The following is a 20,342-nucleotide window of genomic DNA, read 5'->3' on the forward strand; positions in this document are numbered from 1 at the left end:
ACTAGTTCAACCATTGTGGAAGTCAGTGTGGCGATTCCTCAGGGATCTAGAACTAGAAATACCATTTGACCCAGCCATCCCATTACTGGGTATATACCCAAAGGATTATAAATCATGCTGCTGTAAAGACACATGCACACATTTGTTTATTGTGGCACTATTCACAATAGCAAAGACTTGGAACCAACCCAAATGTCCAACAGTGATAGACTGGATTAAGAAAATGTGGCACATATACACCATGGAATACTATGCAGCCATGAAAAATGATGAGTTCATGTATTTTGTAGGGACATGGATGAAGCTGGAAACCATCATTCTCAGCAAACTATCACAAGGACAAAAAACCAAACACCGCATGTTCTCACTCATAGGTGGGAATTGAACAATGAGAACTCATGGACACAGGAAGGGGAACATCACACACCAGGGCCTGTTGTGGGGTGGGGGAGGGGGGAGGGATAGCATTTGGAGATATACCTAAAGTTAAATGACGAGTTACTGGGTGCAGCACACCAACATGGCACATGTATACATGTGTAACTAACCTGCACATTGTGCACATGTACCCTAAAACTTAAAAAAAAAAGAACATTATCACCCTAACTAACTTGAAAAAGTCTTAAGGTGCTTCCATGGGACTCTTAAGTTTTTTCTTTTGATAGAAACTACCAGTTTCATTCAATTGATGGCATATTTTAAAATATTTGCTTTTTATTTTCTGGCTATTTGGCATAAGGTAAAAGCACAACCATGATTAAACTTGGAATTACCTAATAATGCAACCTTACTCATGGTTGGATGTCTAGTATCAATGTTTTGAAAATAATCAGTTGATTTGCTGTTGGATAGATATTGTTTATCTGATAAAACTACCTAGCTATTTTGAAGGAATGACTTTTATGTAATGTTATTTCCTCCCACAGTCTGCAAAAAACAAATTGTGTTTTCTAAATGGTAAACGATTTTAGGAAATACTGTCTTTAGGTATTTTTGTCATTCTGCTGAATGAAGAAATTAATTTTCCTTTTGGAGTTTCGGCTAATTCTTTGAGCTATTACAAATCAAGAGCCTTCTGGCTTTGAATATGCTTTGAAAAGAGGTCCTATTGCAAATTCTATTTCTTCCACAAAGCCTTCCATGGTCTCTTTCCACTCCTTTTGGGCGTAATCTCTTCCTCCTCCAATTCATTGCATTTAACCTGCATCTTCCTTATGGCAACTGCATTTGCCACCATGTGCTATAATCTTTATTGTACTTGTATTACCCCTCTGCTAGACTGTAACTGCCATGAGGGCAGGTCCATGGGCATATGGTTCAATTTTATGAACCCTAGCATACACAAAAGCATATACCAATAGTTTTGAACACTTCACTCAGAGGCCAGTGAACACATGAGACTCCTTTTGTCTGTAATGGTTTGTTTTGGTGATAAACAAAGGTGCAGAGCAACATTCCATAAATATTTATGTTCTTTTTCTCCCCTATCAGTGTCTGCCCATCATTATTTGTTTTTTTTAATTTTTTTCCAAGTTTTATTTTAAGCTCCAGGGTACTTGTGCAAGATTTTCAGGTTTGTTACATAAGTAAATGTGTCATGGTGGTTTGCTGAACAAATCAACCCATCACCTGGGTATTAAGCCCAGTATCCATTAGCTATTCTTCCTGATACTCTCTCTTTCCCCATCCCTTACATGCCCCAGTGTGTAGCATTATTAAACTCAGTCATAGGAGGATAAGATTTGTATTTTTCTACTGAAGCCCAAAGAAATGAAGTATTCATTCTGTCACTTAGTTTAAGCAGGAAAACAACTTGTCAGAAATCTAAAAAGATTATCTTGGCACATTTGAAATTCGGAGAGTTTAAAAAATAAATTTGGGACTGATTAGCTACAGAACTGTAGCCTTTACTAATGTGTGCTCCATGAAACACTAGCTCCATAAGTTGTCGATAGGTTTGGTTGAAAATGGGAAAGGGGTCTTAAGACTAGAAATTTGAGAAATGCTGGATTAAATAAAATCAGTTTTTTTAAATGCAAGACTTCTCAGAACTTTTATGCATTTTGAGCCTTCTGAAAAAGAGTAGTCAGCATTTCTAGATTTATTTTTTAAATTACAAAAGTAGATTTCTCAGTGAAATTCTTGAATGATTAATGTTCTGTGGGATACATACTGGAAAGATTATGTCCCTTGCACAATTAAGCATGTAATAAAATATATTTTGAGTGAATGAATGATTGAACTCCTAGTGAGTTAGGGACAATGACAGCGCTATTCTCCCTCCAGACAGCCAAAGGAAATGAGCAACAGATGCCAAAATCCTTATTTCCAGTTCCATTCATATTCTCTTTTTCCATGCTTTTCTTTGATCCAGGGCTGATTGATCCTATATCTCTAGGGCAGAAAATCTGATTGCCTTTTCACAGGAACCACAGCTCTTGAAATCTTACCTAAGCTTCCTAGTAGAGCTTTAATAGCAATCAGTACCTGCCTGAATTTCTGGTGGCCTTGCAGCTAATCATATTTCAGGGAAAGATGCTACTATGCTGAATACCTGATGATGGATGCTCTTCTTAGGAGAAGAAAATGGCATTTAATGGTCTCAGGATTAAGATTACAGAGATAGCACCAGGCTATCTGCAGCCTCAAGGCTTTTAAAGCATCCCCTGGGCATGAGCCAATGCGAATATTTCCTTTCCTTCGCAGGGTGATGGTGCATTTGTTCGTAGCATGGAGCTGCACTTTAGGAGTTATGAAGGCAAGGCAGAAGGGAGATGCAGGGGGGAGAAAAGGAGAGAGAACTGCCTGTCCCTTCACAGCAAAGAACAAAGTGTTCCTTTAGTGAATCTTGTTGATTGCAATCCCCTGGCTGACTTTGGTGTGCTTCAGTTATAATTAACTTCCATATATTTTAAGGGATTAGTGACATGTCAACATTTTTGAAACGTAGTTCTAATCATTGCATGTAATAACAATATTTGTCTTCAATAAGGGGATATTTTAGGGTGACAGATAAAGATAAGTCAAGAGCGCTCACACAGTTTCATGAAACTTCCATTTGTTTTTTCTTTTAAGAAAGCATAGGGCAGAATATATGTATTCTTTTGCTCAGCAGAAACGGCAAAGAGAAATGTTTAATGGAAAGCAAGTATGCCTGGAAGAAATTCTTGTGTAAGAGTTTTTAGATCAATACTCAAACTAATCTCACGCTCCCAGGAACTGACCTCCCTCTCTCTGTACATGATACCCTCTCCCATAGGGCAGAAGCAGGTTTATTAGCCTCCTTTTATTTTGCAGTGATTCACTGCGGTAGACAGAGAAAAGCTCTTAGATGAAGTATCCAAAGTTTGGTGCTCACCCTTCCTAAATGTACACTGTTAGACAAGCCACTTTATCTCTCTGATTCCTGCTTCCCTTATCTGCAGAACAGGGGAGGAATGGTTAAAACACGTACATGTATTGTGCACTCTTGCTATCTGCCAGGCCCTATGCTATGCAATCTGGATACTTTATCTTGTTTAATCCTCACAAAATAAATGCAGTGAGAGAGATACTCCTATTTTAAAACAAGAAACCTGGGATCTATAGAGATTAGGTGAGTGACTAATCTGAGGTCACATAGCTGGTGGGGTAGCAGAGCTTTGATGTGTGTCTAGGTGTGACTGATTCCATGGTCCGGGCGCCACTAGATTACCCTAACACTTTGGTTGTGAGGAGTAAAAGAGATGTCTGAAAGCCTGTTGTAATTTGTAAATGCCCATATAAATGTGAGGCATTATCACTGAGTAGCACTCATAGTGGTTACTGAGACCTAGGTCTTGCAGGAGGTATACTGAGAATGAAAACATGGTGTATTTTTCTGGCTGGGCCATCATCCAAACTGAAAGGGCATGTGTTTGGCGACAGGGATAGAAAGTTGAATACAGGGAGAAAAAGGAGGGGCTCATCTTGGCCTCAAGGCTGCATCTACCTCTCAACACCATTTCCTGTCACCCAAGCAAGTGCTCATGAGGCTACATTAGCCTGTTTTGTCAGGTTCTTCCAAGTGAAACTCTTTCTTGCCCCAGATCCTTGCATTTGATATTCTCTCTGCCTAGAAAATTCTTCCTACAGCTGTTTTCTTCCCATTCTTCAGGTCTCAATTCAAATGTCAATATGTCAGGAAAACCCAGGCCTCCCAATTATTTTGCTTTTTTTTGTTGTTTATTTACTTGTTAATTGTTTGGCTTTTCTGAATGAAGACTCTAGTTCACTGTGCTGTATTGTTGACTCCCACAGTGCTAAGCTCTTACTAGGTGCCCAGTAAATTGGTGTTAAATGAAGAAATGAATGTCTGCTTTAGAGGAGACCAGAGAAACCTAGGCAGGACCCTGAGTTGGATGCTAACCTATACTCTAGTCTCACTGTGATTCTTAAGGGTCATTTCTAGTTTAAGAACAAGATAATAAAATTCTCATTTCTTCATTTCTGAATAGGTTTTTCTTTTTGTTTTTATATTCACCTGCCACCCTGCTGTCACCTTTGGAGAAGGTGTAAGTTTTGGGAAAAAGGAGGGTCTTTGGAGTTACACAGGACTTGGGTTAAATCCTAATTCTGTCATTTACAGTGTGACCTTGGGTGTGTCATTCAAGCTCTCTAAGCCTAAGCTGCTTCACGTATAAAATATTTCATAGGATTATCCTGAGCTTAATTAAGATATTTACAAAGAATTTAAAACTGTTTGGCAGACTATATTTCCTCCTCTTTCCCAAGGACTCTAACTTTCTTGGAAATACATTTTGGTTTTGAAGGCTGCCGTGCGTTGGTCGACTACCATTTGATTTGTTGATGCTGGAGGGAAAGAAGTGGAGAAAGAGAGGAAGAAGGCTGTTTTAAATGACATTGTGATTTCCTTGGAGGCAAAGATTTTTGTCTAATCTCATATCACAATCACTTATACTTGCTAGGCTGTTAATAGGCACAAAAAATAAAACTCAGATGGAAATGTTAATAGTGGTATTTTTAAAATGCAGCATAAAAGCTCAGATCTTTTACATAGTGAACCACTCAGACCACTTTCCTGAAATATGAATACAACAAACATTTCTTGAAATGGTTAAAAACAAAAAGGGTAAGAAGTACAAACATGGCACTGTTGCCCCTGATTTCTGGGGACAGTCTCTAGACCTCAGAGGGTTGCTGGATAGTGTCTGAAAATTTTGGAATTAGAAACATGAGCTAGCCTTAATGTCTTCTGACATGTATAAATCTCTGCATCTTCTCACCACAGTTTTTTTTTTTTTTATTGTAAGGAGTACTAAATTAGGAAGACTAGGTCAAAGAGGAATGGTCTTTTTGTTGAAGTAGAAATATAATTCTTGTAAAATCTAAAGTTTCTGAGCCTCTGAATCTTTTCCCCTTAGCTGATATAAGCAGGTAGAAGGATTACATATAATATACATATGACAAATATATATATATGTAGTCATATATATCAAAAGAAATATATATGTGTCTGTAAATAATAAAGCAAATATAATTAACAGATAAAGGTTATCAAACAATTGACACCTTTGTCTAAGGTAACAGTAAAGGACAGTGTTAAGGACAAATTGAGGTGGCCTCAATTTACTAGAAAGAAATCAGTATGAGTTTTCATTTGCCCTAGTGACATATTACTTCTTAATGAGCAAATAATGTCAACAATATTTTATTTTATCCATATAACCAACTGGAAAAGAAATAAGTATTAATGAAAAAAATGCATTCATTTAAGGAGATACCACTAACAAGGCTAAGTAAAGGTAAAACTTCTGTTTCCAAAATTTTCTAAACAGAAATAGTATCTTTTGCCCCTGTGCCGAACTATCCATTTTTCTAAGATGGGCTACTTTGACCCTGCCAGGATTACTCAATAATTCCTCCATTCATTCACAGGTAGTATCAGTCGATGAGTTCATGATCTTAATTATTGTCAACTTTTGTATTGGCTAAAAGGTGGACTAACTACCCACTTTTAATACTCAGGTCCTTGCAATTGTCATAAGAAATTCAGCATTGCATTCTGGTAACCTACTCACCTTCTAGTTGTGGGGGTTTAGTGCTTCTAGTGCATAGATTATTTGTTTTATTTTAAGAGAATTTCAATGAGATTGGAAATTTAGTTTCAGAGCCAGACCTTCAAGGTTAAAACATCAAAACAAATCTCCAAAGAAGAAAGACAACCACAGAAACTATTTGAATAATTTTGACTTGCTTTGAAAACTAAAATTAAGGCTTTTAAATTCATCAGCCCATCATCATAACCCTCGCATTGCTGAGGTGCTTTGGAAGTGGATCAGTAGTTCTGCCTTTCCCTGGCTCACTGTCATGGCTAATAAAGCTATGTCTGTCTCTCACACAAACAGCTAATGTAATGGAAAGATAATTACAAACAAGTAGATTACAGGAATTGAACAGAAAACTGATGTTGAGACAGTTTTTCTCCTGTACAGAGTTTTTGTGTTTGTTTGGAGTCATCTAACACTGCAAACAAATTCAAAATCATCAAGTCCAATGTCGGAATATTTGACATTGAAGATAAATTCACTCTTTGAGTAGTCACTTGGAAACCAATTATTAGACAAGACAATGAAGATGATTTTCCAAACACAATGGCAATATTTAAAGTACAGAAGTTCCTAATGGTGCAATGTTTGTTTGTTTTTTTAAAACTAAGAACCTGTGCCTAATTTTTAAGTTTGATGAAAATGTAGCATTTAATAAGGGCAGATCTTAGACATTTTCAGAGCATAGGAAATTCCCTGCAGATTACAGTTCTAAGAATAGCCTAGAAACAGCAGTAGAGCAAATAAAGAAGTGACCCTCAGTCGTTCATGGGTATATCAGGGGACATGTAGCTATATATCAATAAATTGCTGATGGCTTTATAAGTTGTCAGATGTTAGGCAAATCAGAACCATACATTGCTATTATGGTGGGCATTTCTTGCTTTTGTTAAAAAAAAAAAAAAGGCACCCAAAACAACTTTTACTAGGAAAAGATGCTCTGCATGTAAAAATATATGCAGTGTTTTCTGCTCTCTTAACTAATTTTTAGTTGTTCACCAGGCATGTTACCTACTTCTCAGTTATGGTTCCCATGATCCAGTTAACGTTGCCTCCCATCTTTCTCTTTGTGTAAATTTAACAATATTTCCAATGTTCTTACCAGTTCTTTTTTTGAGTGAATCTAAGGCATGCTCAATGTCTGAACTTGATCTCTTTGGTCTGTCTTCTTCTTTGTCATGCTGGAAGGAATAAACTTCTGCCTGGGTGCAGTGTTAAATATGACAGATTTTGAAGAAAAATATTGAAGCCATGTCAGAATTATCTCCATTTTTCTAAATTTAAATTTACTTGAGTGTAGATTTAGTCAAGGTAAGTCTAGGTTTTGCTGAGTTATTTAGATAGTCTGGAATGTAAATCTTTGAAAAGTTACAAGGACTTGAATAGCAAACACTAATGTAATATACTCGAATGATGTTAACCAATAAAAGACTACCATTATTAAAAGCTTGAGTTCTCTCTCCTAGTCACACTTGACCTTTATTCAGGGGTATGTTCAAGAAGTATGGGAAAATATCACAGACATGTGTGCTTTCTCAGCTGAGAACACGTCTTGGAAATTCTCAAGAGAAACAATCTATTTAAGATTCCACAAAGAACTAGATATCATAGATGTTTTTCTTTCTAAGCTTACTAACAACAACAACAAAAATCCTGATCTTCTCGGAATTTTTGTGATAAAGATTTTGAGGCCATAACTGACCCCATTGACCCAAATATTTCAGAAGAGAAAGCTGAACTAGATAGTTTTTCCCAAGTATCAGATCAGTTTGACTTCATAAAGCCTCTTATCAAGAATATTAGGCCACATTTATAAATGCTTACTGTGTATTCGATACTATATTTTGTATGCACATTTTGGTCATTTAATCTTCCCAAAATCCTACAAGATAGATGTTGCCATTAGGCCATTTTGCTGGTAAGAAAACTGTTGTTTAGAGAGAAACAGTAATCACTCAGGGCTGTTCAATTCCAAAGCTTATATGCTATACTATAGGGCTTTCTAGAATTTTGAGAAATGCATTTAGAAATTCAGAGAAATGCCGTTCTAAAGTCTTGAATTCTTCTTCTTCTTCTTTCTTCTTTCTTCTTCTTCTTTTCTTTTTTTTTTTAATGGAGTTTCACTCTTGTTGCCCAGGCTGGAGTGCAATTGGCGCCATCTCGGCTCATTGCAACCTCTGCCTCCTGGGTTCAAGCGATTCTCCCGCCTCAGCCTCCCGAGTAGCTGGGATTACAGGCATGCACCACCACACCCAGCTCATTTATTTTGTATTTTTAGTAGAGATAAGGTTTCACCATGTTGGTTAGGCTGGTCTCAAACCCCTGACTTCAGGTGAGCCGCCCACCTCGGCCTCCCAAAATACTGAGATTACAGGCGTGAGCCACCGCACCCAGCCGAAATCTTCTTAATAATGCCCCCAGAAGTAAGTCACACATTCCTGCACGTGCTTGATGCCAATGCTAAGCTTCTGTAGGCTGCTGATACCCGAAGGACTCTCATTGTTGGGGAGTGGGCTGCTCTTCAAGGAGATGGTCAAATGCTGGCAGAAATCCCTTCATCCCCTTCATTTCTGGCTGGTAAGATATTTCCTTTCCACTTTCACTCCTCATACTTACCTTCACATACTCTATTATTTCTAAACTTGATTATTTAAGGATTCCCCAAATTTATCTTGCGGTTGTATGCTCCCAAGCCTTTGATTATAGCACCTTACGCCTCAGCCCATCTCTGAGGAACACATTCCTACGCATGCTTTGTGATCTAGCTGAAAATCTCTTTTCCTGCCATGCTTTTTTTTTTTCAGCTTCTCAGGCACAGTAAACTTCTCTATCTACTACTGAACCTTCATAATGCTTTACATACCCCCTTCTCAGTACTTGTCAAAGTTTAGTATGATTATTTGCTTATCATCTGTTTTCTTAGCTAGATCATGAGTTCTCTGAAAACAGGAATCATGTTCTGTAATCAGTTCACCATGCTAGGCACACAGCAGGCAGTTAATAAGTTTTTGCCAAATGAATAAAAAGGTGTAAAAAAGATGTAAAAAAATACTTTATAGAGACTGTGAAATTGTGGTTGTTTCATTTTTCAGCTTCTAAAAGCCAGTTGGCTTATTTGACCTTATGCTATTCCTCACATTCACTAAACACTCAACATGTTTTGGGCATGTGCCTGTCATAAAGCAGCTTCATCAAAGTTTTTAAAATTCTAAAACTCTTTAGAAAGACTTGTTAACCTTTGGCTGAGTGCAGTGGCTGATGCCTGTAATCCTGGCACTTTGGGAGGCCCAGGTGGGCAGATAACCTGAGGTCAGGAGTTCAAGACCAGCCTGGCCAACATGGCTAAACCCCGTCTCTAGTAAAAGTACAAAAATTAGCCGGGTGTGGTGGTGGGTGCCTGTAATCTCAGCTACTCAGGAGGCTGAGGCAAGAGAATAGCTTGAACCCTGGAGGCGGAGGTTGCAATGAGCTGAGGTTGCGCCATTGCACTCCAGCCTGGGTGACAACAGCGAGACTCTGTCTTTAAAAAAAAAAAAAAGAAAAAAGACTTGTCAACCATCTAGGTATTTCTGGCAGTCTTGCTTGTGTGGAATGTTCCTGCTGTAGCTAATGTCAGAGGAACCTCTGCAATCCTGGGCAGCATTGGCAGCCACGTGAAGGAAGGGAGTGGAGTTCTGTGCAGATGTATTAAAATTAAAAGTAATTTGGTCCAGACTCTGTGGAAAACAGTTTGGTGGTACTTGGCATGACCATGGGACACAGAGTTCCACTCTTAGGTATACATCCAAAAGTATCAAAAGCAGGTATTCAAATAAATACATACACAAGCATGTTCATAACAGCACTATTCAAAGTAGCCAAAAGGTGGAAAGAACCCAAATGTCAATCAGTGGATGAATGGATAAACAAATTATGATGTATCTATGCAATGGAATATTTATTAGCCATAACAAGGAATTGAGTGCTGGCATATGCCACAACATGGATGAACCTCAGTATGCTGTGTGGAATTATACTGTATGATTCCATTTATAAGACACATCCACAATAGGTAACTTCATAAAAACAGAAAGCAGATTGGTGGTTGCCAGACAGTAAGGATAACAGGAAATGAGGAGCACTGATTAATGTGTTTGTGGTTTCCTTTAGGGGTGATGAAATGTTTTGGAAGTAGATAGAGGGAGTGATTACGCAGCATCATGAATGGACTAAATGTCCCTGAATTGTTCACTTTGAAATGGTTAGTTTTATGTTTTGTGAATTTCACCTCAATTAAAAGAAATAAAGTAGAGTGAAGGTTGAAGGAATAAAAAGTGGAAGAGGAGGTCAGAGTGATACTATGGGAGAAGGATTCTATCAGCTGGTCCTGGCTTTGAAGATGTAGGGAGGTCAGAACCAAGCAATGAGGGCAGCCTTGAGAAGTGGGAAAAGGCAAGCAACAAAACCTTCCTTGAAGTCTTCAGAAAACAACATGGTCCTGCAATCACCTTGATTCTGGCCTAGTGAGAGCATGTATTACTGAACTGCAAGGTAATACATTTGTATTTTTTCCTAAGCTAAAAAAGGCAACAAAATACCAAGCATTGGCCTCATTGCTGAAAAGAACTTCAGAGGTCAGCCCAATTCTGATGAAATAGGGCTGTGGAAGATTATATTACTTTCCAAGGTCACATAGCTAGTTGTCCTATATACTCAGAAACAGTGTTTCCTCCTAGAAATAAAAAGATAGGAGGAGAATAAACAATGAGTGAGGTTATTGTCCTGATTTTATGAGAGTGGGAGCAGATTCAGTGAGATTAAATAACATGACTAATATGTAACATCTAGTACTGTGGGTTTTATTTTTTAAACTTTTTCTTTTAAATCAAAGTAATGCATGTACATGAACAATAATAAAACAATCACATCATAAGCATTATAAGGGCTTATGATGGAAATCATCAGTTTCCAATACTCCCACATCCAGTCCTGCTTCATTGCACTTACCATTTCCTCTTTTAACTGTCCGTTGTAATTTAAATTTTACTACATAATGCTATTATGTGTTAATACTTAACAAATACTTATATAGTACTTAGTAAGTCGTTTCCAAAGACAGTTAATTGAATCTTCATAACAACCCTGTAAGACAGGTACTAGTATTCACCCTACTTTATGGTTGGGGAAACTGAAGCATGGAGTGGTGAGACTTACCCAACATAGCACAACTAGAAGGTGCTAGAGCTGGGGTTTGAACCCAGGTGTTCTAACTTCAGATTCCAAGCTCTTGACTACTACACCATGCTGTTTACAAACATGAGCTTTGTTTTACCAGAGAGTAACTGAGTGTATTAGTCCATTGTCACATTGCTATAAAGAACTGCTTGAGACTGGGTAATTTATAAAGAAAAGAGGTTTAATTGACTCAACAGTTCTGCATGGCTGAGGAGTCCTCAGGAAACTCACAATCATGGCAGAAGGGGAAGCAGGCACACCTTACATGGTGGCAGGTGAGAGACAGAGAAAGAAACAGACAGAAAGAGAGAGAGAGTAGGAGGAACTGTCAAACACTTATAAAACCATCAGATCTCATGAGAACTCACTCACTAACATGAGAACAGCATGGGGGAAACCACCCCCATGATCCAGTCACCTCCCACCATGTCTCTCTCTCGACACTGTGGGGATTACAGTTCAAGATGAGATTTGGGTGTGGACACAGAGCCAAATGATATCATTCCACCCCTGGCCCCTCCCAAATCTCATGTCTCTTTCACATTTCAAAACACAATCATGCCTTCCCAATAGTCCCCCAAAGTCTTAACTCATTTCAGCATTAACCCAAAAGTTCAAGTCCAAAGTCTCATCTGAAACAAGGCAAGTTTCTTCTACCTAGGAGCCTGCAAAATCAAAAGCAAGTTAGTTACTTCCAAGATACAGTAAGGGTACAGGTATTGTATAAATGCTCCCATTCCAAATAGAAGAAATTGGTCAAAACAAAGGGGCTGTAGGCCCCATGCAAGTCTGAAACCCAGCAGGGCCATCATTAAATCTTAAAGCTCCAAAATGATCTCCTTTGATTCCATGTATCACATCCAGGGCATGCTGATGCAAGGCGTGGGCTCCCACAGCCTTGGGCAGCTCCTTCACGGTCTGACATTGAGTGCCTGAAGCTTTTCCAGGTGCAGGGTGCAAGCTGTCAGTGGATCTACCATTCTGGGATGTGGAGGACAGTGGCCCTCTTCTCACAGTTCCACGAAGCAGTGCCCCAGTGAGGACTCTGTGTGGGGGCTCACACCACACATTTCCCTTTCACACTGCCCTAGCAGAGGTTCTCCATGAGGGTTCCAACCCTGCAGCAGACTTCTGCCTGGACATCCAGGTGTTTCCATACATCCTCTGAAATCTAGGCAGAGGTTTCCAAACCTCAGTTCTTGAATTCTGTGTACTGGAAGGCCCAGCACCACGTGGAAGCTGCCAAGGCTTGGAGCTTGCACCTCTAAAGCTGTACCTCAGCCCCCTTTAGCCACAGCTGGAGCTGGAGCAGCTTGGACTCAGGGTGCTATGTCCTAAGGCTGCACAGAGCAGTGTGTCCCTGGTTCTGGCCCATGAAGTCATTTTTCCCTCCTACTCTTCCAGGCTTGTGATGGGATCAGCTGCTGTGAAGTTCTCTGAAATGCTCTAGGGGCATTTTCCCCATTGTCTTGGCTATTAACATTTGGCTCCTCTTTACTTACGCAACTTTCTCCAGCCAGTTTGAATTCCCCCCCCCAGAAAATGGGGTTTTCTTTTCTACCACATGATCTGGCTGCAAAATTTCCAAACTTTTATGTTCTGCATCCCTTTTAAACATAAATTTCTCATCTCCATCTGAGAACACCTCAGCCTGAAGTTAATTGCCCATATCACTGTCAGCATTTTGGTCAAAACCATTCAACAAATCTCTAGGAAGTTCCAAACTTTCCCATATCTTCCTGTCTTCTTCTGAGCTCTCCAAACTGTTCCAGCCTCTGCCTGTTACCCAGTTCTAAAGCTACTTGCACATTTTCAAGTATTTTTATAGCAGAGCCCCAAACTCCTGGTACCAATTTCCTGTATTAGTCTGTTCTCATATTGCTATAAAGAACTACCCAATACTGGGTAATTTATAAAGAAAAGAGGTTTCATTGACTCACGGTTCGACATGGCTGGGGAGGTCTTACATGGCTGGGAAACTTCCAATCATGGCGGAAGGGGAAGCAGGCACGTCTTACATGGCGACAGGCAAGAGAGGAAGTGTGTGGAGGAGGAACTGTCAAACACTTATAAAACCATCAGATCTCATGAGAACTCACCCACTAACACGAGAATAGCATGGGGGAAACCACCCCCATGATTCAATCACCTCCCACCGGGTCCCTCTCTTGACATGTGGGTATTACAGTGTGAGATGAGATTTGGGTGGGGACACAGAGCCAAACCATATCACTGAGACTCGATGTGGCCCAGTAGCATGCCCAAGTTTATGGCAAGGCTGGAATTTGAGCCTAGTTGGGCTCCAAGGCCTTGATACTTTCTGATAAATCTTTCTGCCTTAGAAGGCAGCTGTCCATTGGAACCATGTCTGTCTTAGCCCTGCCTGGGATTAGAGAGAGAGAAAGAGAGATGTGAGTAATAGAGCTTTCTAGCACATCAATTTTTAAATTTTTTTTCATGTTAGGAAGACAGGCTTTGTAGGTATAACCTTTGTAACATTTTCTTGGCATCATGAAAAATTAAAATTCTTTCTATTCTCACCTTTAAAAAAATAGATTCTTTTTTGGCAGGCAGGAATCTGTTTAGCTGCCATTTTACTAATGTGCTGTGGTTTTCCTAGAAGGCTGCTGCACAAAATGTTTTAGGCATTCTCTGTAGCTCAGATTAGAAGACCTAAATCCTAGATCTACATTCTCCTTATTCACCATAATAACTGCCTCTTTCTGAAAATATTGACTTGAGCAGATTTCCCATACTGTCAGCTTTTCTTGCTCTAGATTAGAGGTTTTCGAAGACTAACTGTGGAATCCTAGCACCTTTTGGTGATCCTGCAAAATTGTCCATAGGGTTGGAGGAGAATGGAGAGGAAGGGTAGGTAGGCAATGGGATGAATACGTGAGCAGGGGAGTCACCATACCACTGCCCCCCTCACCCACCGCTTAAGCCAGAGAAGACAACTTTGACTCTATGGATATTTCTACAATTTTTTTTGAGATAAAATGTACCATTGAGAAGCTCCCCCTCCCACAGAGTTGGTATAGAATAATATACTCACTATATAGTGGATACAGCTGGAGGAATAGGGGTTAAAAAGAAAATAAAATAAAAACACCACTTAGAATAATGAGAAAACAAGGCATATGCATCTATGGTGTCTAAATGGGATTCCCTGGACAGGGAAAGATTCTGGAAACTGACCACCCATCAAGCTAGTAATTGGAAAACTTCACTTCCGCAGATGCATTCTGTGGTAAGGGAGGCAAGATTGGGCTGGTAAGCATTTAAAAGAGAGAGAAAGTTAGAAAAGAAAATGATCAAGTGGATTAAATAGAATAAAACCAAAGTCTTCCTTTTGGGGAAGTAGCTCCTTAATAATTGAATTCACTGCAGATTCAGACATTGCAGGTGAAGTTAGAGAACACGCAGAGGAAATCCAAATTAAGTTCTGGCTAGGGTAATGAAAAAAATGGAAGAACTAGACTGCCATCCTGAGGCCGAATGTGGTATCTAAATACCCTCAAGCTTTTCTATTTCTCTAAACAGTAATTTTATAAAATTGTTCTTCAAAACTAATATGGATACTCGGTAAAAGCAATGCAAATGATACAAGAAAGTTTACATGATAAGTTAAGCCTCTCTTTTAGCCCCCAAATTTCCCTTCCCCAGAGACAATTATTATTTCTAGCTTATTGTACATCTTTTTTTATTTTTATTTTTTCCAAAACACCAGAGATCGATATGTACATCTTTAAAAATAAGTTCTATGCACTTAACAATAATTTATGTGTGTATGCATTCCTTTGAAACCACTGATGATATCTGCTGCTGTATATCTTGATTTATTTTCAATTTAACAATGGATCTTGGAGATGGTTTCTTTTTTATTTCTTGATTGTATAGTCTTTATTAGATGAACACACCAGAACTCATTTGGCCATTCCTGTACTAATGTACATTTACTAGGTTTTCAGTATTTTGCTTCTACAAACAATACTGCAATAAATATTTTCATCCGTAGATCATTGTGCATGTGGACATAGCTGTAGAAAAAAATCACTAGAGGTGGAAGTGTTAAAAGGTATATGAATTTAAATTTGCAATGGGTAGAGTAAAATCGTACTCTAGAAATGTGAAGACATTCTATCAACCATGCTTGAGAGTGTTCGATGCTCCACACTTTGGCCAATCTGAAGCATTTTCTGTATTCTTCACAATTCCCCTGGGTAACCAATAAGATGATTTTAAACTAAAAGATAGCTTGTTGTTAGGTCATCACAACCATCCCACAAGTGTTTGCCTTGGTGTTTTCAAAGGATCTCTGAAGATGCTTTATGAATCATTTCTTGTTGTTAGATGCCTAAGTGCAGTTGTCAAGGCTGTAGAACTGCCAAGGAGGAAGGGAAGGCAGTGCCAGCTGAAACAGCAGAGAGATTCAGGAGAGTGATGCAGAAATACTCGTGGAGACTCTCATTTCTGACCTGGATCTCAAATAATAAATGATGATTTATTCCTTTATCATTCAGACAGTCTTGTGCACCTACTGCAACCAGACCCCTGCTGGATCCTGAAGCTCGAAAAGGGAATAAGATGTATTTTCCACCTTCAGTTTAGTTGCTCATTTTTTACTTCTCTTACAGGAGAGAAGACGTGTTTTCTTGACAACAGCACAGTACCTAGGTATATCTATATTTACTCTGTGTGTGTGAGAGGGAGATCAATATGTATAAATTTGGTAGTATGCTTTATTTTTTTCTTTAATTTTCATTAAAATTTTGTTTTACTTGTTTTCTTTTCTAATAATATATCTAATGGCTTACATCTTTCTTAATAGATAAAAATATCCTTATGAGCAAATATTTCTACTCAGCTCTGGTGCTTCTTTTTCTGCTACACATTCTATGCAGCTCAAATCCCATTCTACTCATGAATCCTTTTTGATACCTGTAGTCACGTTAGGCTCTGCCCCATACTTTATACAGACAGTCTTGTAATGTAATTGTCTTTCACTAGTGCCTCCAACTGAGCTTTAGTCTCTTCAAGGACAGAAGAGGACATTGTTGAGGCCTTCACAATATTGTCTATCCAAGTGGACCCTTGAGGGCAATGGTTTGTACTCCTAGTGGGAGGCATCAGTGAATAATAGCTGAATAATATCTTGCTTTTATTATGTTTTTAGCTTTTCTGTATGTTTGTGACTAGCATGCATATAGTAGGTGTGTAGAAAGTAGATACATTTATTTAACTGTTATTTGAGATGCAGGACAGAGTTTCCAGTGCCATTTTTTATAGCTTTTGATTTTTTTCTGACCTCTAGACCTTTCTAGGCCTTTTGATAAATTATCTTCTCCTCCCCCCGAGCTTTCCCCTCAAGGAGAGGATACTTCCTTTAGGTCATGATGCTAATATGTCTGTGCTAACATCTGAAATTCAAGTTCACTGTTTTTCTTCCCCCATCTCACGTAGCCTGTGTATGTACATATGCCTGTGGACATTACACTTACAGACACATACAAATTTCTTTCTGATCACTGTGACTTTCTGAGCCCTTGTCTTCAGAGGTCATTTTCCTGAGAGCTTGTGACTAGTTCGGAATACAGAGGAGCTCTTAGATATCTTCTCATACAAGAGAAGGAAGCAATTTGCGACCTAACAATAGGGTTAATGTCAGCTGGTCATAGTTTAGTGAGTTTAATTACTGGAATTTCTATATAATATTACCCCAAATGACATCTGGGTTGGAATGAACATGAGATTCCTTTTGGGTGAGCAAAATAAAACAGGCCATGCAAAACTATGCTCTGTCTAATCCTTGTGCCTGATGCACACGGGCTTCAGTGACATTTCTGGAACTGATTTGTACTTAGCCAAGATGCACTTTTTAATAAACTGCAAGAGGAAAATGGCATTAGCTACTTTAACAAGGAAGCAAAATATATAGTTGGAAAGTGAGAATGAAAAATGCTTAAGTAAAAAGATGAAAGAATTTTTCCTTGTTCACCCACCTCATTCCCCGGATTAATTAATACCTATTTTGCCTCCAAGTAAATACAGGATCAAAATGGTAATGAAATGAATTCATTTTTGCAAGCATTGTGAATTGGACTAATTTCAAATTTGTTTTAATGAAGGCAAGCGTAAGCACTGACAATTGCAGGAAGCTCAATCTAGTATTGAAGATGAGCTAACTAATGCCTTTCATTTCAAAGTGTAATCCATGAACCAGCTTCATAGCATCATCTAGAAGCTTCTTAGCAATGCCGAGTTTTAACCCCTATACATAGATCTCCTGAATTCGAATCTACATTTAGCAAGACCCCCAAGAGACATATATGCACGTGAAAATGGGGAATCACTGGCCCATGATGTTGCATTTCTGTTAGGGGCTTTCTCCCATAGAGTAACCAAAGAACCAGTCACCCAAGGGAGATAAACTGAGGACCAGATTTGAGAGGTTTCCAGCCACACAGGGAGGAATGCACAGATGCATGCTGGATTCCGCGGTGCCAAACCAAACAGTTTGCCATTTGCTCTGACTGTTTTATTGCCCTGAAACTATGCACTCAGCTTCTTCTGAGGCTTCCAACACACAATGAATCCACAGAAAAAATAAATAATGTAAAGGTTTTCTAAGGCACTTGGCAGCAGAAGGAATTTTTAGTGGGGCTCAGATTGAGGGAGGGGTGGAGAAGAGGAAGAAATGGAATTTGGACATATAGCAGAAAGGAATTCCTAAACACTTTCCGAGTTTCATCACCTTGGCAGGTTGAAAAAGGAATTTGTATGTGACAGATTCTAGAATTTGCCCTGAAAAATTTCTGATGGCGGGCTGGGCACGGTGGCTCACGCCTGTAATCCCAGCACTATGGGAGGCCAAGGCGGGTGGATAGCCTGAGGTCAGGAGTTCGAGACCAGGCTGCTTAACAGAGTGAAACCCCCGTCTCTACTAAAAATACAAAAAATTAGCTGGGCGTGGTGGTGGGCACCTGTAATTTCAGCTACTCGGGAGGCTGAGGCAGGACAATTGCTTGATCCAGGAGGCGTAGGAGGCAGTGAGCTGAGATCAGGCCATTGCACTCCACCCTGGGCAACAAGAGGTAAACTCTGTCTCAAAAAAAAAATAAAAAAATAAAAAAAATTCTGATGGTTGAGGGAATGAGAGTCTAAACATTTTGAGCAAAGGACTTGACACATTGATTGCTTTAGGTCCTAGGTCTTGTGTGTTTTAGTGAGAAGTGAGTTGCTTCTGCCGTCTTCAATAAGATACATTTCAGTTACAGCCTCTTCATCCCGCCATTCGGTGTTTTCATTTGGGCAGTAGACAGCTAAAATATTGGCCAATGAAGGAAAACAGATTTCCCAATGAATAGTTCTACGCCATGAATAAATGAGATTAGAGGGATGCCTAAACTAATTCCAGGTTATTACAGTCTTCATCTCTATCCTAATTATCTTTAGTTTCACTCCTGGTTTATGGACAGAAATTTAAAGCCAGTACATTTTATCTTCTGTATCATTTAGTCCCCTTTTGACTGAAGCATTGCAATATTCTCTTTAATTTTCATGAGAATGAATTTCACCTTTTATGACATTCAAAGACATTATGATGTCTTTATGAAAAATGATGTCACCCTGATATCAGCAATAAAATAACAATGTCCTAATGCCAATAAATGTGTTAACCATATCAGTCATCTTTCAGCTTTTCTGGCTTTGCTTCGGAAACTGCAGAAAACCTCAAGGTTTTTAATTTGTGAGCTCTGCAGAAGCAGTCATGGCACTTTACATTTTCGTCTGGTTGAATGCTCAGGAAATGGACCATAATTAAGTGACTATCTTGGTAACAGGCAGGGTTATTTGGATAATGCCTAAATCAGACTGGATTTTGCAGACTTTCATGTATCTGTGTATGTGAGGCGGGGCGGGGTTTGGGAAATGTATCCTCAGGTACTATCTGGTCTGGACCCAAGGAAGCCGGTGCTGTTTTATTCCTTACATTTAAAGTCCTGCTTTGGGAGTCATCCTCTGGGAAACAGCCTGCTGAGACTTGGAATAGGCTAAATAATACTAGATTTGGGGGCTATGAATTTAGTGCTTTTTTTTTTTTTTAGAAGGAGTTTCGCTCTTTTCACCCAGGGTCAGGCTGGAGTGCAGTGGCATGATCTTGGATCACTGCAACCTCCGCCTCCCGGGTTCAAGCGATTCTCCTGCCTCAGCCTCCCGAGTAGCTGGGATTACAGGCATGTGCCACCACAACCGGCTAATTTTTGTATTTTTAGTAGAGACGGGTTTTCACCATGTTGGGCAGGCCGGTCTCGAACTCCTGACCTCAGGTGATCCGCTGGCCTTGGCTTCCCAAAGTGCTGGGATTACAGGCGTGAGCCACCGCGCCCAGGCTAATGTAGTACTATTCATCTGTCAATTTACAGGGTTACTTATGTGAATCAACCTTTATGGAGGGTTTATGCTTAGGATCATATCAGAAACCCTGCAGGATATCAAAGATATATAACATAAAGCTTTCTTTGAGCAGCTTATATTTTTTTGGTTGGGGAGAATAAGTTTCCAGACAGTATATAATTAGAGAAAAAGCAAAAATGTAGAGTTTTCACTCCCAGTTAGCATGGAGCCTGTTTTTTGGGATTCTAGCATGCTAGAGCTTATCAAGTTGTGATTTGAATTACAGAAACCAAGGACATTGGATCCAGACCCTCCAAACTGTGGACTTTCAGAGACAGGAAATCAGCATGGGCTTCGTTGGTCAGGAGAAGCTTCCGGCAGAAAGAGAACTTGAGTGGGTTTGTGAGGATGAGTGGGAAGTGCGTGAATAGAGAGACACCAGGGAAGTCATCGTATGTCAGGCAGTCAGAATAATCACAAAAGTGAGAGAAGCCTGGCATGTATTTGGAAAAATGAGAGATACTCCTGGTTGGGGAGATACCACACAGGTGATAAAGGTGATTGATAAAGATAGGGTCAGATTTCAGAATAACTTGACTATAAAACAGGGGTATTTTAACTTGATCCCATAAGGTCTGACACCAG

At 39.4% G+C, this 20,342-nt stretch overlaps 1 protein-coding gene across 4 annotated transcripts in view; it reads left to right on the forward strand.

Moving 5' to 3' along the window:
• SLC30A8 (solute carrier family 30 member 8) overlaps window positions 1–20,342 on the forward strand; it is a 226,498-nt gene that overhangs the window by 73,065 nt on the left and 133,091 nt on the right. Inside the window, exon 2 of one of the 4 annotated variants that reach the window (NM_001172815.3) lies at window positions 15,938–15,977. The exons of the other annotated variants lie outside the window; for them this stretch is intronic. The gene's annotated coding sequence lies outside the window, so the exon portion shown is untranslated. The remainder of the gene's footprint in view (window positions 1–15,937; window positions 15,978–20,342) is intronic. 4 annotated transcript variants of the gene reach the window in all.

This window comes from Homo sapiens, chromosome 8 (genome assembly GCF_000001405.40).
Source record: "Homo sapiens chromosome 8, GRCh38.p14 Primary Assembly".
Taxonomy (NCBI): Eukaryota; Metazoa; Chordata; class Mammalia; order Primates; family Hominidae; genus Homo; species Homo sapiens.